Genomic DNA, 12,404 nt, shown 5'->3' with positions numbered 1-12,404 from the left:
TCTCAGGAGGCGAGCACAGAGCCCACTGCATCCCCACCGGCTTCCCAGGGCTGCCATTGCTGTGGACACAACCTCAAGGACTCGTCATCCAAAGGCTTTCTCTGGCCCTCGGCACTGCTTGGCCCAGGCTGGGGACAGGCTCTGAGTGCCCAGCAGCTGGCACGGGGAGCAGCCTCCATCCAAGGGGGGCAGAGGCCCGTGCTGGAGCCTGAGCTGAGGTCTTTCTGGTCTGAGGGTTCCCCTGTTCCCGCAGCAGCAGCCTGCTCCGGACGCTGTCTGTCAACCCCCTTCCCCTCCCTGCTGCAGGGCTTCCTAGGGTCAGAGCATCCTCCCTGCCCGCCAAAGCCCCTGGGCACAGATGAGGCAGGTGAGGCTGGAGAGAGCCTGAAGAGGGAGGCCTCCCTGGGGAGAGAGGAGGGACCGATCTGTGCCGTGTCCCTCGGCTGCCTGAGCCAGACACAGCCCAGCCCTGCCTGACATCCCGGCAGAGCGGTCAGGGGTGGGCTGGGGGCCTGGCACAGAGTGCGCCGTGGAAGCCTCATTCCTCCGCTCTGCTGACCCAAAGCCCTTGGAAGCCTTTTCTCAAGGCCTCCTGTGATCCAAGCAGAAGGGGAGGCATCTGCAGGAGGAACAAAGGCATTGAGGGTAACACCGGGACACCAGAGTCTCAGGAGGTCAGCCCATGCCCCAGACTCTAGGCGACAATTAATTTGCAAGTGTTTTGAGATTAGACACCTGGATTTAGATCCCAGATCTACCATTAGGTGGCAGTGGGACCGTGGACACATCAACTAACTTTCCTGAACCTCTGTTTTCTCATCTGTAAAATGGGATAGCAAAAACTGCCCACATGCCAAGGCTACAGTGAGGTTTAAACGAGAAGCTCCTTAGAAATTTAAAACGTGGAAGTAACCAGCAGTCCCAAGTATATGTAAGCCAACACTGACTCAGAGGATAGTAACTCCCCTGCAACCTGCCTACACTTGCAGTGGATATAGATAAGCTTTCTGGCTGGAAAAAGAACGAAGAATTTTATGCATCAGTTTCCGATGAAAATATAGAAAGAGCAATCCAGAAGTGATGACAGTGATGGTGATGGTGGTGATGCTGATGGTGGTGATGCTGATGGTGGTGATGCTGATGGTGGTGATGGTGATGGTGGTGATGGTGATGGTGATGATGGTGATGGTGATGGTGGTGATGGTGGTGGTGATGATGATGATGATGATGATGATGATGGTGATGATGATGATGATGATGATGATGATGGTGATGGTGATGATGATGATGGTGATGGTGGTGATGATGATAGTGATGGTGGTGATGGTGATGGTGGTGATAGTGGTGATGGTGATGATGGTGATGACGATGGTGATGATGGTGATGGTGATGCTGGTGATGGTGGTGATGGTGATATTGATGGTGATTGTGATGACAGTGTGGATGGCGGTTGTGATGATGATAATGGTGATGATGATGATGGTGGTAAGGATGATGGTCACAATGATGATGGTGATGATGAAGATGGTGATGATGATGATAACAGTGATGGTGGTAATGATGGTGGTTACGGTGATAATGGTGGTGCTGGTGGTGCTGGTGGTGGTGATACTAAAAATGACAATAACGATACTGGCCATCCACCGAGTCCAGTCTGCAGCCAGGCTTGACACTATGTATTTTGCATATGTCATCTTATTTACCCCTCACAGCCACTCTGTGAGTTAGGTCAGTGGTTCCCAAACTTTGCTGAACCAATGAACCACCTGGAGAGTTTTTAAAATTCCAGTGCTAACTCAGTCCCATACCAACTAAGTCAGAGTGCCTGAGGTGGGAGCCAGGCACAGAGCTTGCTAAGCATCCCCAGGTGATTCCAGAGTTGGACACCCCCTGAGCCAGACAGTCCCTATGCACAGGGGGATGTTGATGATGAGAACCCGACTCGGGGCTCTGTGCTCAGAGTGAGTAAGCCAGGAGCTGGCACATGGCCCAGTCAACTCGTTCCAGAGCCCGTGTTCTCGACCACTGTGTTCTGTAAATGGAGGACAGGACGGCCCACCCCAACCCAGGCCTGACTGCTGTGGAGAGGACATGGGCTGCAGAGGAAGCTGCTGGAAGTGTGAGAGGCCCGAGGCCCATGGGCTCTGCCTCAGGCCCCAGGAGACCGAGGGCAAGGCTGACTGCGAAGGGGGTCGGCACAGCTGTGGCCCCCAAGGGCTGAGGACAGCCCATGAGGCAGGCAGAGCTGTGACGGATGCAGTAGCCCCCAGAGACCCCTGGCACAGGGGCAGCTGTGACGTCTGCCCGCTGCCACTGAGGGCAAAGGACCCATCCGGGAACCCATCAGGATGCTCCCCAGAGACGCTTTGGAAGAACTAGGGCCTGTAGGCAGCAGGGTCTCACAGGTGTACGGGGCAGGGGCTGTGGGCCCAGGCAGTGGACACAGTGTTGGATCTCCACCCCGGGCTGGCCCCGTGGGCTCGTCAGTGGTGCTGGGAGGGTGCAGCGGTGATGTTGGATCATCATAAATCCTGAGGCCTCGGCCCCACTGGGGTGTAGTTTTGCCACCTCGGGCTGGCCCTTTTCCTTCGGGCCTGACTAGTGAGACAGCAGGACATGTCCGCCTGGAACCCCAAAGGCCCTCCTGGCTCAGGCTCGATTTTCTGCTGTGGAACACACGCTGCCACTGATTTTTATGTTTCCCAGAACATCCGTTTCCTGGGAGACAAGGGATGACACCCCTTCCAGTGAGCTCACGACTTCATCCACAAGCACTAGCAACGTCCTCCTCGATGAGGCCACACACGGGCCAGGAGTCTCTTTCCCAGGCCTGGACCCCTGGAGCCCCCAAAGGCCCCCTTTCTAGAGCTGTTGACAGAGCTTGGAATTTGACTCTTCTCTGGAGAGAAGTGGGGTGTCAAGACTTCCCCTGGACAAGACGTCATTTCACCCCCGATGGGCATGGGTGGCACAAGGCCATGCTTCTTGAAGACAGACTACCCTCTTTTTGCACGTACGGTGTACACGCTGTGGTGCTGAGGGTCTCACGTGGGCCTGAGGAGGTGATGTGGGACTTGTCCAAGGCCGTCCTGCTACGGAGTGAAGGACAGGACCCGGCCCCAGGCCTCCGTCTCCAGCGCCCAGGCTGCCCCCGCACTGGCCGCCCCTGCAGCCCCTTCCCTGGAGCCCTCAATGGGTCTGGTGAGCCTGGGGACCCTGCCAGACTTGGGCACATCCTGTGGTGGCCGACTGTGGTGATGACACTCCCTCCTGGCATCTCACTCCCTGGCAACGCACATCCAGCCTGGAAGGAATGTTCCCGGAGCATGCCGGACGGCAGGCGCTGGTCCTAAAGGGCTTCCCCTCTGGGCGCTGCGCCCACATCCTCTGGGCGAGACCTGAATTGTGAGCAGCTGGCCTGCCCGCCCAGTGTCCCTGTACCCCATCCCCTTCGCCTCCCGGTTGCCGTTGCATAATTCGGAATCGCCCAGATTCTGCGGACACTGGGGCCGGTGACACGGTAGCGGGGGGCAGAGAGAGGGACAAGAAAGCCGGGGACATCAGACCCCCCGCTCCCACCCTCCAGGCTCCACAAATGTGTGGGCGAACAGTGCCCCACTCAGAGCTTCCCAAGGGCCGTAGCAGGGGGCAGAGAGAGGGACAGGAAAGCCGGGGACATCAGACTCCCCGCTCCCACCCTCCAGGCTCCACAAATGTGTGGGCGAACAGTGCCCCACTCAAAGCTTCCCAAGGGCCGTAGCAGGGGGCAGAGAGAGGGACAGGAAAGCCAGGGGCGTCAGAGCCCCACCCCCCACCCCCTGCAGACCCTGCAAATGGGTGGTGAGTGGTGCCCCACTCAGGGCTTCCCAAGGGCCATAGCAGGGATCACAGAGAGAGGAACAGGAAAGCCGGGGGCATCAGAACCCCAGCCCCCACCCCCTGAAGACCCCGCAAAAGGGTAGGTGAATGGTTCCCACTCAGAGCTTCCCAAGGGCCGTACCAGGGGGCAGAGGAGGGACAGGAAAGCCGAGAGCCCCAGCCCCCGCCCTCCAGGCCCTGCAAAAGGGTGGGTGAATGGTTCCCACTCAGAGCTTCCCAAGGGGCCATAGCAGGGGGCAGAGAGAGGGACAGGAAAGCCGGGGGCGTCAGAGCCCCAGCCCCCACCCCCTGAAGACCCCATAAATGGGTGGTGAGCGGTGTCCCAATCAGGGCCTCCCAAGGGCCCCCTCCTCTTTGCAAGTCTGTTGGAACCAAGGGCTCTACGGCTCGAGAACCCACAAGCTGGTGCCTTGGGGCTGTGGCGTTTCTACTGAATCTGGAAACCGGAAGAGAAAATGCATCCTATCGGCCTGGGCCTCTAAAGCACTGGAGCCAATCGACAGAGAACGTGGCCCGTTGGAAGGTTCCTCGAGGTCTCAGAGCCTGTTTTCTCACCTGTAAAATGGAGCCAGGGGTCCCTACTGGGTGGAGGAAGTGAGGTGGGGAGGTGGTGTGCACCCCACGGCACTTCCTCAGCTGAGTACAGGGCCAAGGGCTAATAGGAGTGAGGTTGTGTGGTGTAGTAGGGTGGAGGAAAAGGAGTGTCCGGAGACAGAGTGCCTTGTTTGGGGAGGGGCGGGACTTTCTGAAAGAACAAGGGCGTCCAGGGAGGGCGTCCAGGGAGGGCCGGTGGGGCCAGGAATGAGCTCGGCTTGGCCTCACCTTGGAGGGTGTTTTGCGAGCCAGAGAGGATGGATGGGGTAAGAGGGCTGAGATCTGGGAGAGGAGTCAGGGAGACATCCGTCCCCAGAATCGTGGCCCTCGCTCACTGGACACTGCCAGGCCATGGTGGACCTTGGTGGATCCAGGTGGGCCGTGGGAACAGAGAGGTCTCCCAGAGCAGATCCCAGCCCTGCAACGCCCCGGCTGTAGCTAGGGGGGATCCGAGTGACAGAGCATGGACGCCCGCAGCCTGGACAAGCTGGTGGAGGCCGCACCCCTTCAACCGGTCATCCATGTGGAAGGCAGGCCACACGGCGGGCACCCCACAGGTGCCGGAGCCTGGACCGACTCCTGACACAGACACACCAGTTCCTGGGGCGGGGACGGACACAGACAGGCGGGCAGAGAGGGAAGCAAGATCAGTCAGCTGACATCAAACACAGAAGAAACCAAAGCAAGGCAAGAGGGTGGGGAGAGCCGGGCAGGAGGGGGCTGCTGACTTAGACGCAAGGACACCCTGCGTGACGAGAAGCAGCAAAGCCAAGATCTGGGGACGGGCTGGAGGGCGGAGGTGCCAAGACCCTGGGCGGGAGCAGGTCTCTGATGGAGGCCCACGGGGCGCTCGTCCCTGGAGGAAGAGGGAGCCCGTAATGGGTGTGAGCAGCGGGGGGCATTGCTTTCACGTGCTTCTGAAGGCTGTGGCCCCGGCTGCTGGAGGGAGAGAGGACGATGGGAAGGCAGAGCCGCTGGCTCCGGGGACGGAGTGAGCTGGGTGCGGACTGCGCTGAGGCACGAGGCACAGGCTCAAGGTCTCTCTGCGGTGCTGGGAGCGGGACTTGGTGACAACAGGTCCTGTTTGGAAGATACTGGGGGTGGGGCAGGACTCTAGGATATCACTTTTTTTTTAATTAAATTTTTATTTTGAGATAACTGTAGATTCCTGTGCAATTTTAAGAATTAATACGGAGAGATTCTGTGTGCCCTTTTTGCAATGTCCCCTATGGTTCCATCTCGCAAAGCTGAGCGCCGTGTCACAACCAGGAAGCCGATGTCAGCGCCTTCAATCACAGAACGCTTTGGCCCCGCCGGCTTCCTCTGCAGCCCCCACCAGCCCGAAAACCTGTGCCTCTTCCTTCTGGCCTGCATGGTTTCCGATGAGAAATTCGCTGTCATTCGAATCGGCATTTCCCCTTGGAGGAAATTGTGTTGTTCCGGCTGCTTTCAACGCGCGTGTGAGCGTGAGCTTTGGACATTGTGTTTTGATGTGTGTGAGCGTGAGTTTTGGACGCTGTGTGAAGTTGTGTTTTGATGTGTGTGAGCGTGAGTTTTGGACGTTGTGTGAAGTTGTGTCGTGTGTGTGTGTGAGTTTTGGACGTGCGAAGTTGTGTTTTGATGTGTGTGAGCGTGAGTTTTGGACTGTGTGCAGTTGTGTTTTGATTGTGTGTGTGAGTTTTGGACGTTGTGCGAAGTTGTGTTTTGATGTGTGTGAGCGTGAGTTTTGGACTGTGTGCAGTTGTGTTTTGATTGTGTGTGTGTGAGTTTTGGACGTTGTGCGAAGTTGTGTTTTGATGTGTGTGAGCGTGAGTTTTGGACGTTGTGTGGAGTTGTGTTTTGATGTGTGTGTGTGAGTTTTGGACGTTGTGTGTTGTGTTTTGATGTGTGTGTGTGTGAGTTTTGGACGTTGTGCGAAGTTGTGTTTTGATGTGTGTGAGCGTGAGTTTTGGACGTTGTGTGAAGTTATGTTTTGATGTGTGTGAGCGTGAGTTTTGGACGTTGTGTGAAGTTTTGATGTGTGTGAGCATGAGTTTTGGACGTTGTGTGAAGTCGTATCTTGATGTGTGTGAGCGTGAGTTTTGGACGTTGTGTGAAGTTGTGTTTTGATGTGTGTGAGCGTGAGTTTTGGATGTGTGAAGTTTTGATGTGTGTGAGCATGAGTTTTGGACGTTGTGTGAAGTCGTGTCTTGTGTGTGTGTGTGTGAGTTTTGGACGTTGTGCGAAGTTGTGTTTTGATGTGTGTGAACGTGAGTTTTGGACGTTGTGCGAAGTTGTGTTTTGATGTATGTGAGCGTGAGTTTTGGACATTGTGTGAAGTCGTGTCTTGATGTGTGTGAGCGTGAGTTTTGGACGTTGTGTGAAGTTGTGTTTTGACGTGTGTGAGAGTGAGTTTTGGACGTTGTGTGGAGTTGTGTTTTGACGTGTGTGTGCGTGAGTTTTGGACGTTGTGTGGAGTCGTGTTTTGATGTGTGTGAGCGTGAGTTTTGGACGTTGTGTGGAGTTGTGTTTTGATGTGTGTGAGCGTGAGTTTTGGACGTTGTGTGAAGTTGTGTCTTGATGTGTGTGAGCGTGAGTTTTGGACGCTGTGTGAAGTCGTGTCTTTGTGTGTGAGTTTTGGACGTTGTGCGAAGTTGTGTTTTGATGTGTGTGTGTGTGAGTTTTGGACGTTGTGCGAAGTTGTGTTTTGATGTGTGTGAGCATGAGTTTTGGACGTTGTGTGGAGTTGTGTTTTGATGTGTGCCAGTGCGGGTTTCTTCGGCCTTGCTCTCTTGTGGTCCTGCCCAGGCCGAAAAGCGAACAGTCCAGTGAGCCAACTGGACCATGGAGGACGAGATGCATGTGAACCGAACTCACCAAACACGGCCTGCAGAGGAGGACCGTCCATCCAGGGCCAGCCTGCATCCAGGGGCCTGCTGACCACAGCCTGCAGAGGGAGAGACCGTCCATCTGAGGCCCTGCTGACCCATAGCTGTGCACGCCTGCTCTTTCCATAGTGGGTGGTCTCTCAGCAGCAAGGCTGTGGCGTGGAGAACTCGAACATGAGGTACTTGCCCCGTGACACCCTGCTGGTGTCCCTGAATCTGGCTGTTAATGAGGATGGACACAGGCGTCGGCAGGCCACGCTTTGAGAGGGTCTGCCGCTGGCACTGAGGCGAGACCTGAAGAGGCACAGGCCCCGGAGGAGGTGGGCGCCGCACCCTTGAGGTGGAGAACCCCGCCTTTAAGGACACACGAAGCTGGCCGGCTGCCAGATGCCGCGGTTCCGGGGAGGAGATGGGACGCTCTCCTCCGGGCCTGAGATGGCAGGATCACGAGGGGACCTTGGGTCACCTGCGTGGCAGCCTCTGAGGCTGCCCTGGCTCCCAGCCCGGTCCTTGGTGCAGGTCAGGAGCTGCTAGGATTCCTGTTTCACTAAACATTTGATTCTTATCTTCTCTGCAGTGTTTCCCATGGGGTGCAGACCCGCTGCCCGGGCGGCTCATGTGTATCCCAGCAGCTCACGTGGTCCTGCTCTCCTGAGTCCCCCATGCAGGGGCGGTGTCCAGGTCCAGGTGGGCGAGTGCCTCCTCTCCTGCGTCCTGGGCCCGTGGGTCCTGTTGAGTCTAAGCCACATCCGATCACTGGTGTATGACTCCTGTACTTGCTGATTCTCCTCCACCGTGCCTGTGGGACAAGCACCCAGCGGGGCTGGGCACACGAGATGCCTGGTCTCCTTTCTGGAGGGTCCCTGATAAGGACCTCGATGCCTGGCCTTGTGAGGACCCCACTGGGTTCTCTGTGTCTCAGGAATGCTGGTAGGTTTGGCAGCCAGTGTTCACTGAGAGGCAGTGTCTGGGGCCAGGGGACCTGAGCATGAATCTTGTCTTTGCCACTGACCTTGCCCCGCCTGGACACCGTTTTTCCGTTTGTAAAGTGAAGTGAAAGCCACTGACGGCCCCTGGGCCTTTCTTCCCTCTGGCCACAGTCGACTGAGACTGTCACCATCCCCGTTGCAGATCTGGGAGTCTTGTGCTGAGGTTGGGTGTGTTGAAAATGGAAACGCAGCCGCCCACCCTGGGCTATCTATTCCTGGAGCAAAATGCTAAGTTCCTTTGAGCCTGAGGTGCTCCCAGCTCCAGCCTCATCCCAGAGACCCGTCACCAACCTGTGGTCTGCAGAGATTAGGTGGGACCAAGCCGGGGTCTCCATGGTCAGGCCTGGAAGGCTGTGCTCTCCCCGGACCACCAGGGGCTCAGCCACACTTCCGGGGCCCAGCAAGGATGTCCGTGGGTCGCCCCTGGTTCTTTGATCCTGTGCTGATTTAGAATCTGAATCTCTGTACTCAGGAAAGGCTTAGGAATCGAGAGCTGCAGAGATAAAGCAACAAGGGACCCCCAGCAGGGACTGGAGGGATTCTGAGCCCCCCGGAGCTGCTGGTGGTCCTGAGGTGCCACGGACGTGAGTGCCCAGGCCTGCACGGGGCCCCTCGGTCTTTGGACCCTGGCACTGTTGGACAGATCTCCCCGCAGGCTGCCCAGCGCTTGCAAGCGACAAGGCAAAGAGCCGGAGAGAGAAACCGAGGAGGAACACCTGCCTCTGCCCTGGTAATTAATTCAGGTTAAATTAAAAAGGGACTGGCGTGCCCACAGACACAGCAGGGAGAGGAAATTGGTTTTCTCCAGCCCAGCAAGAGAGATGTTGCTGTGAGATGTCCCTCCCTCCGCTTGTGGCCCTGCCCCCAGACGCCCGGTGGGGGCCTCTGTGTTCTGGGTGCTGTCTTCCACCTTCTCAGGAATGGCTCAGACCTGGGATGGAGCTGGGGCCCCTCAGCTGCCCCATGCACCCTGGGGCTGGAGCTCTGTCGAGGCAATAGTGGACATGGGATTGGTGGCAGGGACCCTGAACCCCGTCCCCGCGGCCTGGGGTCAACGAGAAGGTCGTGGTGAGGAGCGGAGGGGGGCTGGGGGGTCAGGAGCCTCCCTTCCCGCGCTACTCAGCGGGGACTGTGGGGCAGGCTGGTGGAATGCAACCCACAGGGCAGGGTTTTCCATGGCTGGGAGGCCCCTCAGGGCTTGTGGGCAGCTTCCCAAGGGGCAGAAGCGAGCGCAACTGCTGTTCCCAAGTGCGGGAAGATTCCGGGAGGGCAGGGCCGTTGGTTCTGCTCTGAACCAGTCAAGGTGAGTTCAGGGCAGCAATGGCGGAGAGGTCAGCAATGGCGGAGGGGTCAGCGACAGAGGAGAGGTCAGCGTTGGCGGAGAGGTCAGCAATGGCAGATAGGTCACCATTGGTGGAAGGGTCAGCAATGGCGGAGGGGGTCAGTGTTGGTGGAGGTCAGCATTGGTGGAGGGGTCAGTGATGGCAAAGGGGTCAGCGTTGGCGTCGTTCCCTTCTGCAAATTGTTGGCCACATCTTTGGCCCGAGGGAAGGACTACCTGGAAGCGTCTTGGGGTGATCCCTACAGCCCGCCGAGGCCCTGCCCTGACCCCTGGGCAGAGCTTGATGTTGTCCACCAAGGAGGAACCTCAGTCTCCAAGGGCAAGAACGTGTGTCCAGGGATCAGGCAAGAGCTGGGGTCGCCCGGCCCGTCTCACTCAGAGCATGTGTCTGCTTGTGGACCAGGGAGATGTCTAGACACCCTGGGGGGACTCCCGCTCCACTAGCTTCAGAGGCCCACCCTAGAGGGTGTTTCTGGGAGGGACAGGAGGGTTTATGGGAGGGGCGGTGGCCTTGGCCATATGGTCTTCCCCACTGGTTCCCAGGGTGACCACGTGGCCACCCCCTGCCTCCCGCCCACACCCCCTTGTCACTGGGGTGTTTGTCTGAGTCTTGAGGCCCAAAGCACGCCCACCGCTGCACATCCGATGCCAGAGGCCGCCCTGGGCAGCAGCGGTGTTTGTCGGCATGAGAGCCCCAGGTGGCAGCGGTGGTTGTTGGCGCGTGAGCCCCGGGTGGCGGCGGTGGTGGTTGGCGTGTGAGCCCCGGGTGGCGGTGGTGTTTGTTGGCGTGTGAGCCCCGGGCGGCGGCAGTGGTGGTTGGCGTGTGAGCCCCGGGCGGCGGCGGTGGTGGTTGGCGTGTGACCCCGGGTGGCAGTGGTGTTTGTTGGCGTGTGAGCCCCGGGCGGCGGCGGTGGTGGTTGGCGTGTGAGCCCCGGGCGGCGGCGGTGTTTGTTGGCGCGTGAGCCCCGGGCGGCGGCGGTGGTGGTTGGCGTGTGAGCCCCGGGCGGCTGCGGTGGTGGTTGGCGTGTGACCCCGGGTGGCAGCGGTGGTGGTTGGCGTGAGACACAACCTCATCACTTCCAGGCTGGGGGCTCTTGACCTCATGGTGTGTTTTTGAGGGTTCTCCACAGAAACAGACCAACAGGAGGCAGAGGTATAGGGATGTCCCGTGAGGACCAGGCTCATCGACTAAGGAGGCCAAGGCGTCCCACCACCTGCGTCTGCAGGCTGGAGACCCAGGGAGCCTGTACAGTGCGTTCCGGTCGAGCCTGAAAGCCTGAAACCGCGGGAGCCGATGGAGTGAGCCCCGTCCTAGGGCAGGAGAGGAGGAGGAGGAGATGAGATGATCCCGTTCAGGCAGGCAGAGTGCAAACCAGCCTCACTCAGGGCTGGAGTGGTGCCCGTGTACACTGGGGAGGCATCTTCGCTCATTTTCAGTTCGAATGCCAAGCTCTTCCGGAAGCACCCCCTCAGACACCCCTGAAATAATGCTTAGGCGGATACTAGGCACCCGTGACCCAGTCAAGGGGACACAAATCATGCATCCTGTGGAGCTTGGAGGCTGTCCCGCTCACACCCTGCCCACCCTGACCATCTGTCTCTTCTTTCCTGCGCCCCTCTGCCTCCCCCTCTCCCTCTTCTCCTGTCTCTCTCTTTTCTCAGTCACATAAAATAGCTCACGATTTTCTCCAGGATTCACTGAAAACAAACCAAAACAACAAAACCAAGACAAAACAACACGAAAACCCCACAAAATATCAGCCTTTCATATAATTCATTTTTTTTTCTTTTGTTTTTTGAGATGGAGTCTCGCTCTGTCGCCCAGGCTGCAGTGCAATGACATGATCTCGGCTCACTGCAAGCTCCGCCTCCCGTGTTCACACCATTCTCCCGCCTCAGCCTCCCGAGTAGCTGGGACTACAGGCGCCCGCCACCACGCCCAGCTAATTTTTTTGTATTTTTAGTAGAGATGGGGTTTCACTGTGTTAGCCAGGATGGTCTCAATCTCCTGACCTCGTGATCCTCCCACCTTGGCCTCCCAAAGTGCTGGGATTACAGGCGTGAGCCACCACGCCCGGCTAATTTTTTGTATTTTTAGTAGAGACGGGGTTTCACCGTGTTAGCCAGGATGGTCTGTGTGGTGGCTCACGCCTGTAATCCCAGCACTTTGGGAGGCCGAGGTGGGTGGATCACGAGCTCAGGAGATCACATAATTCTCTAAGAAGTAAAAAAAACAGCAGAAATCGTCCATACAGAGTAATCGTTACCCACTAACATATCCACAGCCAATTTTCCTTTGGGCTAGAGGGAAAGAATTTTGCAACATTTGACCTCCCAAAAAGTGGATGTTGATTCCACAAAGATGGGGATGTTGAGGAGTGAGTGGGGAGAGGCCTGCATCTGCCCCAGCGACTGATCTCACCCTGTCCACAGGTTCCCAAAGGACCCCCGTGTGAGAAGCCGTGATCATGAACACGGATACAAAGAACTCAGAGTAAATCATAATTTTGTTGTAAAACGGAAATGGAAGAAAAATGAGCTCTGTGAACATAATTTCAGGCAAATGAAAAATTGATTGGAAACGGACTTCAAGGTTAGACCATTGGTCCAGGATTCATGACACCGGATCGATAGTGTTTGCTCTGGAAAATACCTTTTCACTGAACATCCACGAACAAAGGCAAGGTTATAATAAAGCTTTTGGAATTCAAATTGTTACCAGGGTCAGCACGC

At 57.2% G+C, this 12,404-nt stretch overlaps 1 long non-coding RNA gene across 1 annotated transcript, besides 1 other annotated feature; it reads left to right on the top strand.

Annotated features, from left to right (window-relative positions):
• Positions 4,417-5,151: an enhancer, noted in NCBI's record as "H3K4me1 hESC enhancer chr7:392059-392793 (GRCh37/hg19 assembly coordinates)". NCBI's record gives its function as "activates a minimal SCP1, AML or CMV promoter by ChIP-STARR-seq in naive H9 embryonic stem cells {active_cell/tissue: H9 hESC(naive)}" and the evidence as "EXISTENCE:reporter gene assay evidence [ECO:0000049][PMID:30033119]".
• Positions 6,304-12,383, top strand: LOC124901809 (uncharacterized). Its single transcript, XR_007060633.1, has 2 exons — positions 6,304-9,059; positions 12,105-12,383. It is a non-coding gene; the product is annotated as an uncharacterized LOC124901809 (long non-coding RNA).
• Positions 12,384-12,404: the final 21 nt, after the last annotated feature.

Source organism: Homo sapiens, chromosome 7 (assembly GCF_000001405.40).
Source record: "Homo sapiens chromosome 7, GRCh38.p14 Primary Assembly".
NCBI lineage: Eukaryota > Metazoa > Chordata > Mammalia > Primates > Hominidae > Homo > Homo sapiens.
Note: the sequence above shows the minus strand (reverse complement) of the source record. Positions and strands in the feature narration are given on the sequence as shown.